The sequence below is a fragment of the Homo sapiens genome, chromosome 17 (assembly GCF_000001405.40).
Source record: "Homo sapiens chromosome 17, GRCh38.p14 Primary Assembly".
Classification (NCBI taxonomy): domain Eukaryota; kingdom Metazoa; phylum Chordata; class Mammalia; order Primates; family Hominidae; genus Homo; species Homo sapiens.
This window is the reverse complement of record NC_000017.11, coordinates 55123821-55141305: the sequence shown is the minus strand read 5'-3', so window position 1 is coordinate 55141305 and position 17485 is coordinate 55123821. Positions and strand designations below refer to the sequence as shown.

The 17485-nt window shown below is 37.3% G+C and overlaps 1 protein-coding gene across 8 annotated transcripts in view; it reads right to left on the bottom strand.

Annotated features, from left to right (window-relative positions):
- STXBP4 (syntaxin binding protein 4) overlaps window positions 1-17485 on the bottom strand; it is a 244509-nt gene that overhangs the window by 71968 nt on the left and 155056 nt on the right. Inside the window, exon 17 of one of the 8 annotated variants that reach the window (XM_047435716.1) lies at window positions 9-11122. The exons of the other annotated variants lie outside the window; for them this stretch is intronic. Coding sequence (XP_047291672.1) covers window positions 11085-11122 — 38 coding nt within the window. The 3' untranslated portion in view covers window positions 9-11084. Of the gene's footprint in view, window positions 1-8; window positions 11123-17485 lie in introns of those variants that run through there. 8 annotated transcript variants of the gene reach the window in all.

The window sequence follows — 17485 nt, the reverse complement described above, 5'->3', positions numbered from 1 at the left end:
AGTGAAAGGAAACCAAAAATATATTTAATAAGATGATAAAGATAACTTTATTTCCTGGACACAAACCTCCCTCATCTTTACAATTATTTGAGCACATTTCTTATACAAAATAATTTTCTAGAAAGGGGGAATTAAGACAATTCAGATGAGCTTTCATACTCAGCATCTTTAGAACACAATAAATAAGTCTTGAGCAGTTAACAATCTGCTTTAGTTGCAATAACTGGATTATGACTTGTCATTTACATGTGGTGAGCATTTTTGTCAGCAGGATTCAAGCAAAAATTTGTGTTGCAGTGGATGGTTTTTGCCTGAAGGCAGAAGGATGGACAAGATGGCCTCTGCTTGTCTATTCTGGCTCAAAGTTTCTTTAATTGGCTCCCTTTACATTCTTTCACTCAGCTCCACAGGGAATCAGACATGAGTGCCAGATCAGCAGGGGTTTGAAAGTAGCTTTTGGACAAGACAAAATTCCTTATTAAGTTTGAAAGTTTAGCAAAGTGATTTACAATGGATTGTGGCATTTTACTTTGTTAATTAAGAATTTTGTGCACTAAACATAAACGGCCAAACAATTTGCTAAACTTAGCTTCCATTTCTGTAATGGGATTGAGAATAGTTAGCTATAAAGAGATGTGGATTGACGTAAGCAAGCAATATTTGGCCATATTTCTGTAAATGAGTACATTTTGGCCCTCATCATACCAAGAGAACAGCCCCAAGTTGAGGCAGCCACATTCTCCTACATTCTGATTTTGGGTGTTACGTTTCTAGAACACAGTGGTTTCCACCCCTCTGTTCCATCCAAGTACTGCTAAGGATTTTAATCCAATTTTTGGATGAGTTCTTTGACACTGGCTTATCACGACTCAGGTAGCCTACCTCTCTGGAAAGTAACCGACCTTTAACAACAAATCATTGACTTCCTTTCCCCAAGTCTCAGCAAGGGGCAGAGCAAAAGTGCAGGAATGGTAACTATTTTTGTTTGCTTGCTTTTAGAGGCAGGGTTTCTCTCTGTTGCCCAGGCAAGAGTGCAGTAGCACAATTATAGCTTATTGCAACTCTGAACTCCTGCGCTCAAGTGATTCTCCCTCCTCAGCCTCCCAAGTAGCTGGAACTATAGGTACGTGCCACCATTCCTGACTAATCTTTTTTAAATTTTTTTGTAGAGACCAGATCTCACTATGTTGCCCAAGCTAGACTCAAACTCCTGGGCTCAAGTGACCCTCCCACTTTGGCCTCCCAAAGTGATAGAATTATTGTTGTGAGCCACCGTGCTTGGCCTAACAGTAACTATTTGAATGAAATAAAACCTTACTCTATCGCCATTTGCTTCTTGTGAAGTCTTTGAGAAGCAACTCTAAGGATGATGTTTTTGTAATTATGAAAACCAAGAAATACAATTTGCATTGTGTTTATTTCCAGTCTTTTACCACAAGTCATACACACCTTGAGCAAAAATTCTGTAACTATTTCCTTTGTATATTAACACAGGCCACCTTGAAGTTTCTATTCTCTCTTAATGAACAAATGTTCCTCTTATAAGTAGAAAATAAGCACTTCCTAGAGCCTGGCTTAAGCAAATGACTGGCTTCCCTAAAAGCCCCTTAGTGACTGTCACTATATGTCTCCTCTAGTGTTCACTGCAAGCACATGCTCAGCCAGATGCGCCATGATAAACTGCTCTGCTGCACCAGTTCAAGTAGATTTATTTTCTGTCTTCACACTTTCTGCATCTTCTTTTATAGATTACTTCATTCATCACTGACAAGCCCCTCACCTGGAGGGAAGAAAATGATGACTGTACCTAAGAACCTTGCTTTCATGACAAAAATGCTCAGAAATAACAGGATTTCCAATCAATAAGACAAAGGCAGCTAAAAGTTAAGTAGGAAGTTATTCTAATGTGACTACAATTTTTGCCCGCTAAATAATTTGTCTGATCAGTACAACTGTGTCTGTCCTTCTAATTTCTTAAGTCACAGATACGTTCTAATAAAAATAAAGTGGACACTTTCAAGACAGTATCTTTTAATCTACAGGATCATGTGAAAATTGACACTAACATTGGATTACCACATCCCCTGTGCCATCAGAATAGAATTTCTGCCTTGATTATTTCCTTACAATTATTAAAAAAGAATTATAACTTTATAACAGACTTATAAAGGTACTAATTCACAGGCATTTAAGTCACAATGGTTATTCAGTGACTGCAGCCATAAAGATATCCCTGCATATTAAATAACATGTATAACTTATTTTAGAAGATGTTCTCTGTTCTGAGAAAATAAGTGTTTCTTTTTAGGAGACTGAATAGTTTCTTACAGTTCATGCAGATTTCATATAATCTATTATATAAAAGACAGACCTAGAGACTAAAATGATAGTAATTAATCTCTCAGTGATAGTTCACTAATAGAAAACAATCACTGTCCAATTACAAACTAAAAACACAAATAGCCTACCTTATACAAAAATAGGACTTCTGATTTCCACCAGCTTATTGATGAACTCAGTTTTCCCTTAGTAAAGGTTTCATTTCTTCATAATAAGTGATTTGGATATGACTAACATTATCTAAATACTTTTCAATAATCATTATTGTTTTAAAATTTTCCTACATTTACCATATCTTTATACTTGGAAATATACAATGCTTCTATTTTTTCTTTTCATATTTGTTTTAAAAACGTTATGACAACTATAACTACCTGAAATTGCTTTTGATTAGAAGTATTGTCTATGAACCCTCCCATAACATTCTTTCCATCAGTGATCATCTGTTTTGAATCAATAACTTCACAGTGATGACTCCAAAATCTTCATGAGTATCTTGCCAAAGTAAGAGTCTTAAACACATTCAACTTAGAATAGTGGCTGTTACCTAAAACTCAACATATCCAAAACCAAAGTCATTACATTTCCAGACAAAATAGTTCCTTTCTAATTTCCCAGTCTATTTATGTATCAAATATTTTCTTTGTCATATCTGGCCCATGTATCATTCATTAAATATTTATTGATCCTTTATTATGTGTTCAGCATTTTGCTAGATGTTCAATATACAGTGATAAACAAATAGACATGACCCTTGATCATATGAAGCTTGAAATCGACATAAAGACATTATTAAAAATAGGAATAAGTTCTACAAAAAAAATATGGAACACGATGAAGGTAAGTCATAGCACAGAAAAAGGTTGAACTCCCTAATGCAGAAAGAATTCCTACAAATCGATAATAAGATTAATAACAAATAACAAAATAGGCAAAACGTGAAACATGTAGGGCATGAAACACAAATGAACACATGTGAAAATGTTTAACTTCATGCTTAATTAGAGAAATAAAAAGTTATTATGAGATACCATGTTCATCTATCAGATTAGCAAACATTAAAAAGTAGTTTAATTAGACACAGCATTGATGGTGTGAAGAGACAGTCATTCTCATATTGATGGAAGTATTAAGTATAACACACTTATGAGGAGAAACTTGTAAATACCTATCTAAAATTTTCAATGCTAATAATAATGAGTTAACATTTATTGAGTGGTTAGATTCTAGACACTGTTGTAAGCACCATACATGTACCAATACACTTAATACTCACAAAGAATCTATGAGAAGTACTGCTATTATCCCTATTTTAGCAATAGAGAACTGAGGCACAGGAAATTTCAATAACTTTCCCAAGGTCACACAGCTAGCAGGGGAAAGAGCCCAGATCTTCATCACTATGTTGAACGATCTCCATATAGCTTAATCCAGCAATTTTTCTTGTAGAAACTTATCCTATAGATATGTTTTATTGACAAGACTGTTCATTGTAAAAACAAAAAATTGGAAATAATCTAAATAACCATCAATGGGGGCTGATTAAATATACTATAATAACAGAGTCAGATGTATTTGAAAAACATTTGTTAGTGTTACAAAATTGTTACAAACTCAAATAGGTTTAACTTTTAGCATCCAACATGCTGAGCAGAGCAGAAGGACAGAGGGAGGGAGGGAGGGAGGGAGGGAACATGGAGGTGTGGGGGGAGATATCTCTAACTCACAATTAATAAGGCTTTGTTAAAGAATATAACATTCATCACATAAATGGAATTTTCACTTGATTTGCAGTCAGAAAATCTGAATCCATATGTAATGTTCTTCAATTGCAAGTTGAATAACCGTGGGAAAGTAATAATCTTGTGGAATCTGAACTTTCTATATAAATAGATTTGTCATTTATATAGTAGTGATGATAACAGCTACCATTCTAGCTTAGGGGGTTAGCATGATACCCTTATTAGATAACATGTAACTACACAATGATATACGAAAGGAGACCATTGTTATTAATAGTAATGAAATTAACAGCCCTTTCTTCATTGCTTATGGTTCTGGTGATTTTAGAGTATTTTGGATGCCTAACATAGGAAAGTGTTTATAGGGGAAACCTCCGTTAAGGCGTAAGCACATTTTTTTTTTACAATCCTTTCCTCAATACAGTCTCTGTTTTACTCATGATAACATTCAGCAAAAGAATAACAGAAACTAATGGGACACTCTGACCCTGATCCAGTAGTGTGATGGTAAATATTTTAACAACCAGCTATTGGGGGTGGGGGCAAGCCTTGATTTGCAACATTTGCTCAGTTTCATAGTGTAAATACTATACTATGCCTATTTCGAGCTACCAATGTGATGTCACTGAATACGGAGATGGGAAGAAATGCATAGTAATACACCATGACATACAATTCTTAGATACAACAGATGTAAATAACCTCAAGAACAAAGACAATTGTAAAATGCAGGAAAATAATTAGGAAGTGGTTAGGTTTTAAAATATTTATTACCATTTCTTTTAATATAATTTTCAGTTTAAATATTTTAATTATTAATAATGATTATGTTTGACAATTGGCTCACAAAGTTCTTGCAAGCCAGTAGAAGCCAGCTCAAACATACTACTGTGGCTATCCATCTCTTAGCTCCCTGGTCCCGTTATACAGAAAGTTCCAAAAATCAAAGGACAGCAATGCTGTTTTATCCAATAGATGATTACATGAAACTGATAGCAGCTTCCAAAGGCATAAAGAATTGTTGCCCTAACAATCAACTATGTTTATCAGATGTTTACATAGTGCTTTCTACTATTTCTGACATTCTTCTAGGTAGTTTATAAATATTATTAATTCATTGTACATCACAACAATTTGAGATAGATATTGTTATTAACCTCATTTTGCAGAGACGAAACTGAGGGATAAAGAAGTTTAAATAACTTGTCCATTGTCACACTGCTGATAGTGCAGTCATGATTTGAATGTAAGCATTTGGATGCCAGAGCCTATGCTTTTAAGCACTGTGGTGTTGCTTCTTTTCCCTAACTCCTGTTTGCACTGCCAATAGTCAAAATTAAAACAATCAAATAATACTTTTGCCTAACTCTTTGAAGAACACAAAAAGTAAACTAGATTCCCAACGTCTCAATTTGTGCATTATTATCCATTATTTGTGCATTATTATTTAAAAGAGCAATGTTCTTTTAAAAGGAACTGAAATAATTTCTAGGCTTCACCACACAGCAGTGTATTTTAGAGACATTACATGTTTACAATTGTACAAGTTAATTTGTAGGTCTGAACTGCAGTGCCAATTTAAAAAGAACTACTAGCTAATTTTCCTATGAAAAAGGAATCTAGTATAGTGAGAGATGGTTGCCACCTATAAATAACCAAATAATGCAGCATTTCAACTATTAAAATAATTTCTAAGAAAATAATTGAAAAAATGTATATATTTTCTGAATTGTGATTTAAACACTCCTTAATATTGGTCTTGCAAAAATGCTGTGTATTAACAAACATGATTTTGGATCTGTGACTTGATTGTTTTACCACCTGGTTATATACATCATTGTTGTTTGAGGAAAAAAAAGCAAATGACATATATACATATATAATTTTACATATTTTGTGCATCCCAAATTTAAAAGTTAAAATGTTAACGTAATTAGATATGAGCTATTTCTAGTTAGAAGTCACTTATCCGGCAATTGAAAAGCTATAATATATTAAAGGAACATCATTGTTAAAAATTTCTAGAGGTTATTTGGTGGTTCACAGTCTACTTTATCTGTCAGTCACTATTTCTTTTTGCCAACATATACTACACCAGTTACCAATAAAAGAGAAGGGGAAATGCCAACATTCATTTTCTGCATTTATCTTCCCAATAGATGCAAAATTCAGTATTTTTTTACAGTTGGAGTTCTCTCACTCTCAGCTACATTGTGGAGTCACTTCCTTGAACTCTGATGTACAGACATTTAAGGGGCCAGTTTAAATGTTTTCTCTTACATTCTAACTCTGATCCCATGACCTAGACTGAAGATGAGAATGTGGGATTTCCCCAGCAGTTGTTTCTGGGCATTTATATTATATAATGCTGGGGGAATGATCTGGGCTAAGGCACTTTGATTTGTTTTGCTTAAAAGCAGTAATATACAACGGACTTTATTCTGTGCACTAATGAAACTCAGCATAAAACTTGCTGAAGCTTTCCTCAGGAGAGTGTGAGATCAGCCTAAAGACAGAGCTGAATAATAGGATGAAATGATCTTCTCATACTCTCTCCTGCCAACAATCTTTGGTTATGATTAGTCATCTAATAAATTTAATCAATGTAGAGAGTAATGATGAATAACACATCTGACTCTCCTCAGCCCAACTTCTTACTTTTAAAGGGCTCCCCACCCCATACATCAATTTCTCCAGAAATTCTGAAGTTATATATAATTGTTTTGGATGAAATAATGGATCTTCATGTCACAAATCAAATGAAAATTTGATCCCAATTTTGTTTTACAGTAAAGCATTTTTTTTACATCTACTGTACATCAAGTGCTAAGCTAAACACTTTAAATTTGTTATGGTAAGAGATAGTTTTCATGGTTATCTCATAATACATTTCATATAAAATAACTGTGTACTTCATTAAAAAAAAAGCCTTTCAGTACATTCACCCTATCCTCTTGTAGCTGATGACCTTGCTTCTTACCTCACTAAGAACACAGAAGCAGCAGAAAGAGAACTTCTAGATTCCCACCATAACATCCACCAACTATTCACACACTCCGCTTTTCTCTGTGGTCATACCTCATGCAATCCTCCCATCTTACTTACTCAAAACTTCAATCCAACAATTGTCCGCTTTCTTCCCTAACATCTATGTTCCCTCCCTGTACTGGGTCATTACCATGGGCATAAAAATGAGCTGTAATTATCTTCTATCTTAAAAAAAATTAAAGACAAAACTTTGTCTTGCCCTCACATTTCCTTGCAGCTACTACTCCATTTCTCTGCTCTACTTTATAACTAAACCTTACAAAAACCTTACAAAAATGGATTTGTCTACATTCAATTCCCATCTTTTCATTTATTCTCTTTTAAATCAACTCTAGTGAGGCTACCATTTGCCCTATGCCGCTAAAACAGCTCTTGTCACTTTATGTCCAAAGGTCAATTTTCAGTCCTCAGCTTCCTTCACTTATGACTGTATGTGATGCTGTTGATCACTACCTCCTTGGAACAGTTTATTCGACTGCAAAGACACAGCTTTCTCTAGGTTCTCCTCTGTCACTGGCTGTTTCTTCTCTGCTCATTTGCTAGTATCTTCTCATCTCCCCAGTCTCTAAAAGTTGGACTGCTCCAAGGCTTGGTTCTTCAACTCCTCTGTGTCCTTCCTTTCTGTTCTTTTCCTGCGTACACTCATTTGTTAGGTGATCTCATCCAGTTTCTATTTAAATACTATTCATACGTGACCCAGAATTCTCTATCCCCAGTCTGGACCTCTCTCCTGATTTCCAAACTGGCAAATTCAGGTGCATGCCCTCTCTTCCTCTATCATTGTATCACTTTTAAACTGAAGGTGCCCATTACTGATCTCCTGACTCTTCACCCAAACCTCGCCTCTCAGCTCTCCCCATCAATTTCTATCCTTCCAGTTGCTCAGGCCTAGGACACATCCTTGACCCTTTTCATTCTTTTACATCCCATATGTAATCAACCAGCATATCTTGGTGGCTTTGTCTTCAAATTAGTTACAGAATTTGACCACTTCCCACAACTTTTAGCTTTATTAAATTGGTCCATCCCTTACCTAGATTATTCTGATAGCACTCTAACTGGTATCCCTGCCACAGTCTACTCTCAAACTAGTAGGCAGCATCATTAAAAAAACAAAAAGTCAGATTATGTTCCTTCTACATGACCTGGCTCCCCCATCTCCAACTTCTCTGACTTCATTTCTTAATTATTTATGTTCAATGTGCTGCAGCTGCATTGGTCTCATACTGTTCCTTGAACATAACAAGTATGTTCCTGCTTCAGGGCCTTTGCACTTGCTAGCCCTTCTGCCTAGAGAGCTGTTCCCTTTGAATGCATGGTTCACTCTGTCATTTCCTTTCAGGGTCTGCTCAGTGTCGTTCAATCAGTGATCCCTTCCCTAGTCACTCATAAAAGAGCCAGCTCCCTTCTTCTCCAGCCTCTGACACTCATTATCCCCCTCAACCTGGTTTCTTTCCTCTCTCTTTCCTTACTAGGATGCAAATTCCATGAGAGGAGGTACTGTTCATTCATTGCTTCACTGCCAGTATTCTTGTGGCACATGATAGGTTCTTAGTTGCTGAATTAAGGAATCAATGTTTACCAAGTATCTATATTTATACAAATACCTACTATTCAATAGGATGTAAAATTTGGGAGGAGAGTTCTTTAGAAAAAGATGTTGAAAGGGTGTTTAATAAGATAATTGGGCCGGGCACAGTGGCTCATGCCTGTAATCCCAGCATTTTGGGAGGCTGAGGAGGGCAGATCATGAGGTCAGGAGTTTGAGACCAGCCTGACCAACATGGTGAAACCCCGTCTCTACTAAAAATACAAAAATTAGCCAGGCGTGGTGGCACACACCTGTAATCCCAGCTACTCAGGAGGCTGAGGCAGAAGAACTGCTTGAACCCCGAGGCAGAGGTTGCAGTGAGCTGAGGTCACACCACTATACTCCATCCTGGGGGACACAGCGAGACTCCGTCTCAAATAATAATAATAACAATAAGATAATTGAAAGTGAGGCTGTAAAAGAATATGCTTAAATATTTGCATTATTTTCCCCAAGAGTTGATATTCTTCTTTTCCTTATGGGTTACAGAGATGAAGAGGGGAGGAGCTCTAATTTATTTCAGTACACAAAGATAACATGATGTTTTTAAAGAACTGCTGTTGCCCAGGTGCAGTGGCTCACATTTGTAACCTCAGCACTTTGGGAAGTTGAGGCAGGTAGATCACTTGAGTCCAGGAAAAAAATATGCAAAAAATTAGCCAGGCATAGTGGCATGCACTTATAGTCCCAGACACTCAGGTGGCTGAGGTGGGAGGATCGCTTGAGCCTGGAAGACAGAGAGTTGTAGTGAGCCTAGATGGCACCACAGCACTCCAGCCTGGGTGACAGAGCCAGACCCTGTCTTAAGGCAGGGGTGGGTGGGGGGAGCACTGCTGTTATTACAATAATAAAAATATTAAGGGGCCAGTGGCTGTCGAACATGAATTAATGGAACTATTGGGAAAAAAATGCACCTTCTCTTTTCTGTTCTATTCAGGAAAACTGATTTAGTGGTTAGAGGTGGTAAAGTTGCTATCCAGCAAGCTTGATTTACACTGGTTAAGAGTAATAGCAGCATGTCTGATAGTTCAAAATGGACACTACCATTTGCTTGTAACAGGTTGCCTGAGAGCAATAGGTAGACACACTTGATCTAAGAAAATAGGAACAGCAGCTTGCTAATTAAGTCAAAATGCTAGATTCAAAACTGACAGAGAAATTAGTGTGTCTCAAGGTGATTTCATAAATATCCCTATGGGATGTCATTCACTTTATACTACCATACCATGTTTCTAAGAGTACCCCATACCAGCATACCAGAATTCTAAAAAGAGGACATACAAATGGCCAACAGATGTATAAAAGTGATTCACCATGAATAATCATCAGGGAAATGCAAAATAAAATCACAATGAGATATCACTTCACACCTGTTAGAATGGCTATTATCAAAAAGATGAAAGATAAGCATTGGTGAGAATGCAGAGAAAAAAGAATCCTTGTACACTGTTGGTGGGAATGTAAATTAGTACATCCATTTTGGAAAATAGTACGTAGGTTCCTCAAAAACTAAAACTAAAATTACTATATGATCCAGTAATCCCACTTCTGGGTATATACCCAAAGAAATTGAAATCTGTATGTTGAAGAGATGTCTGAATGCCCATGTTAGTTACGGCATTACTCCCAATAGCCAAGACATGGAAACATCATGATATGGCCAAGATATCACCCATCAACAGATGAATGGATGTGATATTATGACAATGGAATCTTGTCAGCCTCAGGAAAGGATTCTGTCATTTGGGACAACATGGGTGAATCTAGAGGAGATTATGCAAAGTGGAATAAGCCAGGCACAGAAAGACAACTGTGACATGACCTCTACTTATACGTGAAACCTAAAAAGTCAAACTCATAGAAATGAAAAGTAGAATAGTTGTTACCAGAGGCAGGTGGGGAGGGACAGGGAAAGGGGAAATGTTGGTCAAAGGTACAAAGTTTCAGTTACATAGGAGGGATAAATTCTGGTTATCTATTGCACAGCATGGTGACCGTCATTAATAAGAATGTGTTGTATATTTCAAAATTGCTAAAAGTGTAGATTTTAAATGTTCTACCACAAAGAAATAAGTATATGAGGTGATGAAAATGTTAATTGGCCTGATTTGATCATTCCATAATGTATGTATATACTGAAACATCACATTGTACTCTATAAAGATATACAATTATCATTTGTCAATTAAAAAAGATAAAAGCTTTCAAGAAAACATACCTACTGTTTATACTTTTATAGCAACAGTTTTCTACTGTTGCATAACATATTACCACAAATTTAGCAGCTTAAAACAACACCCACCCATTAGATCCAAGTTCTTGAAAGTTCTGTAGGTTGAAAGTCTGGCATGGCATGACGGAAATCAAGGTGTCAGCTGGGGTAAGTTTTTATCTGGAGTATCTGGGGAACAATTTATTTTCAAATTAATTTTTTGATGTTGTTGGCAGAATTCAGTTTGCAGCTGTAGAGGTCCCTGTTTTTTTGCTGGCCATCAGCTGGGGGCCACTCTCAGCTCCTAGAAGTAGCTGGCATTCCTTGCCATGTGACCCCTCCATTTTCAGTCCATCTTAAGTGGCGACACATAGAGTCCTTTACATATTTCTAATATGACTTCTCTGTCTCTGATTTCGAGATTCAGATTTAAAGGCTCATGTAGGTCAGGCCCACCAGGATAATCTCTTTGTCTTAAGGTTAACTAATTACATATGCAAAATCTCTTCACAGCAGCACCTAGATTAGTATTTGGTTAAATAACTGACAGAAGGTGTGTGTACACCAGGAACCAGGAATATGGGTGCCACCTGAGAATTCTGCCTACCACAATGCTCCTATTATTTATTTTATACAATGTCTAAATTAGAGATGGGACACTTTTTTGTTGTTTCTAGGAAGGAAAATGTAACTAAGAAAAATATTTCAAAGGTTACATAAAAATAAAAAGAACTTAACTAATTTTAGGATTCCTTCCTTCCTCCCTCCCTCCCTCCTTCTTTTCTTTTCTTTCTTTCTTTCTTTCTTTTGAGAAATAAAATATCCCTGTGTTGCCCAGGCTGGACTCAAACTCCTGGGCTCAAGGGATCTTCCTGCCTCAAGCCTCATGAATAGCTGGGACAACAGACATGTGCCATGGCACCTACCTTAATTTTAGTTTTCTTTATTTTTTTTTGTCATGGGATTATAAACATTTTCTCCCAATAAACCTGGAACATTAAAAAAATAGTTTTCTATTTCATCTTGTGGTCAGTTAATGAGGGAGAGAAAATGATCAAAGAAAAAGAGGGGAAAAGGGAAGAAAGAAGGCAGGAGAATGAGAAGCCAGAGGTAAGAAGAGAGAGCAGAGAGAAAAAAAAGAATCCAGCCAGGAGCGGTGGCTCACGCCTATAATCCCAGCCCTTTGGGAGGCCGAGGCGGGCGGATCACAAGGTGAAGAGATCGAGACCATCCTGGCCAACACGGTGAAACCCTGTCTCTACTAAAAATGCAAAAATTAGCCGGGTGTGGTGGCGAGTGTCTGTAGTCCCAGCTACTCAGGAGGCTGAGGCAGGAGAATCACTTGAACCCAGGAGATGGAGGTTGCAGTGAGCCAAGATTGTGCCCCTGCACTCCAGCCTGGTAAGGAAGCGAGGCTCTGTCTCAAAAAAAAAAAAAAAAAAAAAAAGAATCCTTACAGGCTGGACGCAGTGGCTCACACCTGTAATTCCAGCACTTTGGGAGGCCAAGGAGGGCGAATCACCTGAGGTCAGGAGTTCAAGACCAGCCTGGCCAACATGGTGCAACCCCGTCTCTACAAAAATAGTAAAAGTAGCCGGGCATGATGGCAGGTGCCTGTAATCCCAGCTACTTGGGAGGCTGAGGTGGGAGAATCGCTTGACAGCAGGTGGTGGACGTTGCAGTGAGCCAAGATCGTGCCATTGCACTCCAGCCTGGGCGACAGAGCGAGACTCCTCAAAACAAACAGACAAACAAACAAACAAACAAACAAACAAAAGGACTATGAAATCTTATAGTTGTGTCCAGTTATCGACTATATTTTAAAAAGAAGGAAGAGAGAGATACATAAAAGGGATTATAGGAGGCCAAAGTTAGGCACAGTAAAGTTGTGCAGGTAAAGTGGGTTTGGGGGTGGTAGACTCAAATTTCCAGACCCCACCTCTCAATCTGATTTGGAATCTCATCCAAGCAATCTCTGGTACAACGGGTTAAAATCTCCCTCACATTCACCCAGCGTGGTAACTTCCTGAACACTCTCAGCAGTGCCTCTCCCTCCTTACCTGCCCAGACTCTGGATCTGCCAGAAACTTCAACACTTTTTTGACTTTCATTTGTTGAATGTCTACTGTCAGAGATCTGGTATAATGGGACCCAGATTCAGGACAGTATCTCACACATAGTGGGCACTCAAGAACTATCTGTTGACTGACTGTAGAAATTTGCCTCCCATGAAGACTGATGATTTAGTGAATCTTGCACATATTTGAAATTTTACTGTTGTTATGAGGTCTTTGTACTCACCAGGGGAACTTATAAATATTTGTACAACTGTTATTTGTGGATTTTGACAACAGGGTAAGGAGGATCAATAGACATACAATTTTAGAAATGCTGTCACAGACTAGATGAAATGAAGTCAAGATCATTGCTGTTTCCGACCTTGAATATAAATGAACATACATAATGAAACTCTAAACACCACTGATCCCTAATCATGTAGCATTTGTTGTTATTATCTTTGTCCTTTAAATTAAAAAAAGTTTATCTGAAAATCTGTTAACAATCTCACATTACTTTCAGGTAAAATGTGGAAAAAAATCATAAAAAATCCCTGAAGACATTTGCCTTTAAGAGGATGCTTGAAAATTTTAAATGTGTTTTTAAAAAGATTTAAAGAAAAACAATAAAAACACCTTCATAGAGGGTTATTTTTTCAAATAATAGCTCTCATGAAGTTAGATAACTCAATAATCATTACATTAAAGAGTTATAAACTTAAATAAAAGTGACCCCAATTTTGCTTTTTCTCTTCTGCAAAGAATATAGGTTCTGACTGTATAGTTTATCACTCAAAAAATTTAATCATTTAAATCCATCCATGGATGGATTAACATATGTCAATCCATGTTTTCAATAATCTTGAAAGACCATTGAAAACATGCATCCCCAGAAAGTCACATCCTTGAATGTTCACAACAGTTTTATTCATACTAGCTCCAAATTGAAAACAATTGGAAGATCCATCAATTGGTGACTGGATAAACTGTGGCATAACAATATAATGGAATACCACTCAACATTACGCATACAAGGATGAATCTCAAAAGCCCTACACTGAGTGGAAGAAGCTAGAAACTTAATAGTCTATTTATTCCACATTTCAGAAAAGGCAAAACTACAGTGATAGAAAGCAAATCAAGGGCTGCCTGGGACAAGGGATGGCAGGGAATAGATTACAAAGGAGCACATGGAAAGGTTGTGAGGTGATGGAAATATTCTAGGGCATGATGGTGGTAGTATAATGCAGCTGTCTACATTTGTCAAAACTCAGTGAATTGTACACTTACATTTTATTGTATGTAAATTATATCTCAATTTTAAAAAGCAGGGGAAATATCCTGAACCAGTAGTATGTGCAATCCCATTAAAAAAGCTGCAGTATGAGAAATCCCATTACAAAATGGCTGCAATCTTCCTTTCATCTTTATGCTGTGTCAGTCCCACTTAATGTCATCCACTGAGTTATTTCCTGGAGCATGCTATAGACTTCTTTTCGTCTCTGCTTTTCCAGATACTGTTCCTTCTACCTGCAATGCTCATCACTATGGAATATAGAAACCCAGTAAGCACTTTGGAATGATTTCAGAGACAACAGTCACGCACCAGAATCTCCTTGTCTAGCTGTTAGCAGGTCTTTGATTTAGGGATTTCTTCAGTTGGGAGATCTATCCAGAAATTCTTTCTTTTGATGTAAAATTTGCTTACAATGAAATGTACAAATCTTAAGTGTATATTTACTGAATTTTCACAAATGCTTACACCTGTGCAACCCAAACCCCAATCATGGTATAGAATATTACCACCACCCCAGAAATATCCCATTCCTGTTTATTTCTACTTCTGTGCCCCAAGAGGCAGCCAACTGTTCTGATTTTTTAAAAGGTATTATACTTTTAGCATTTCCATTTAGTTTTACACAATTATTTCTATTTCTCTGCTTAGAGATCTTCTCTTTCCATTCATTATGAGCATGTTTTCCTTCGCTTCATTGCATGTAGGTATAACAAGCACTTTAAAGTCCTTATTTTAACATCTGGTCTTTTGGAGGTTGGCATCTGTTGACTGTCTTTTCTCTTGAGAATGAGTTACATTTTCCTGTTTTTTGTTTTCACACTGAGTAATTTGGGATTGTTTTCTGGAAATTATAAACATTATACTGTAAAAACTCTGGATTCTGTTACACTACTCTGAAGCATGTTAATCTTTTTGTTTTGGCAGGTCATTTAGTTGGTTGGACTCAAGCAGTAAGTTCTATTTCTTAGGCAGCAGCTAAAACCTCAGTTCAGTTTCCCTCCCCATTCCCCTTTGCTGGGTGGTTTGCAATGCGCCCTATATTTGTGTAGTTTGGGGTCAGACCCAGAAGCTTGGACAGAGTTTATATGCAGAATTTGGGGGTCTCTGTCTCCAGTGCTCTTCTTTCCGGGATTTCCCCTCTGCCTTTCCAGTTGTCCCAAACTTCATATGCTAGTTCTATAGGCCAGAAAGACTGCAAGTTATCAGTTTTACCACTCTAAGTGTCCTGCTAGGGTTTGGAGTAGAGTGAGGCAAGTAGTGTCTACATACAAAATTTAAGGAAACACCCTCCCTCAGGCTCATGCAAGTTCAGGGTCACTACTTGAGACTGAGCCTCCTTAAGAGGGAGGTGCACCCAGGGTACCTTGTTGCCTTATCCTAGTCCCAGCCCTGGGTCCTGCCAACAATCTAAAAGTAGGACAAACAGGAAACTTATCCTATGTTGGGTCCTTCTTCCAAGTTTTGACAGATCTCCAGAATTTGCCTGGTCATATTCACTTTCCAGAAGCTTCAATTGTATTTTTTTTTTTTTTTTTTTTTGTATTTTGTCCAGGGTTTACAATAGGTTTCTGCAGGATGGTTAGTCTGTCAGGAACTTACTTAGCCTTACTGGAAGTGGAACTCTCAGATGCATAGAATTTTTGAGTGAAAAGAGATTTTAGAAATCCTCTAATTGTCTCATGTTACAAATTGGATACTGACACCAAAAATGGTTTCAGAGCTTTGCCATAGAGTCAATTAGAGGAAAACATAGTAATCTAACTTCTACTTTAGTCATCATCCACTATGTCATTCTGCAATAATGCTGAATGAAAAGAGCAGCTTCTGTGCAGAGTATAAAATGCTGCACTCAGACCTTTCTTTCACACATGAATAAATTGTACGTTAACTTTCAATGATTAATTACCACCTGCTTAACAGTTTAGTATTGGTATAAACTGAATGTTTCTGTCCTCTAAAAATTCTTATGGTAAAGCTCTCACCCCTGCTATATGGCTGCATTTGTAGGTGTGGCCTTTAAGGAAGTAATAAGGTTGAATGAGGTCATAAAGAGTAGGACCTTGATTCCACAAAGTTAGTGTCCTCAGAAGAACAGGGACAAGAGCCACCCCACCCCTCCTCTGTGTGCATGTACAAAGAAGGGTCATGTGAAGACACAGCAAGATGGCAGTCACCTACAAGCCAAGAGAAGAGATCTCGAATGAAGCTTACGCTTACTTTTCCACCACCTTGATCTTGGACTTCTAGTCTCCAGAATTGTGAGAAATAAAATTTTGTTGTTTAAGCCTCTCAGGCTGTGATATTTTGTTATGGCAGCCTGAGCAAATACAGCAATAAAAATGGATCCAAATTTTGCACACTGTTAAATCAACTTACTTGACAGAATTACTTCAGTCTGACTACACTGTAAAGGTAAACTCATATTCTTCTCTAAAAGAGGTTGAACTCAGAAAAACAAAATCTACCAATCAATGCAGTAAAAAATAAATTTGAAGGATAAATGTAGCACTTGAAGCAGATCCATTGTGAGGCTGGAAGGCAAACAGTGTTTCTAAAACCATTTAATCTCATTGTATTCCCTACCTTATTTTTAAAATGTTTATATATAACTATTAATAAATATCACAGTCTATTCTGCAAATGCCTTTAAAGGGTCATGCCTTCCAAAACAGCATGTAAACAGGTACCATGCAAAAGTAAGGCCTGAACACATATCTTTTATTTGCAGACTAAGCTTTCTGATCCATCATGAACCTCTGCTCATCTTTTCTCAATTTGCACATCTTCCAACCTCACAGCCTGTCTTATCATTTGGACCTCCATCTCATTCTCCCAAGTCCCCATATAATGCTGTTTTCCTATTTCTTCTCATGGTGTCATGGGGCCTCACTGTCCCTTTTACCTAAACACCCTTGATAAGATCTTTCCATGGTGACTGGCTTGGGACCTTCTTGTCATATCTTAGGCTGACACAATCCAGCATAGCCTAGATTTATAGCAACCAATCATTATCAAATAAAAGGTATTAATAGAAATTAGGAGGTGTTAAGTACAGTTAGAAGTGTATTATGCATTAGAGTTTCAAGTCATATTTCTCGTTTTATCTTCTTTTTTTTTTTTGAGACTGAGTCTTGCTTTGTCGCCAGGTTGGAGTGCCGTGGTGCAATCTCGGCTCACTGCAACCTCTGCCTCCTGGGT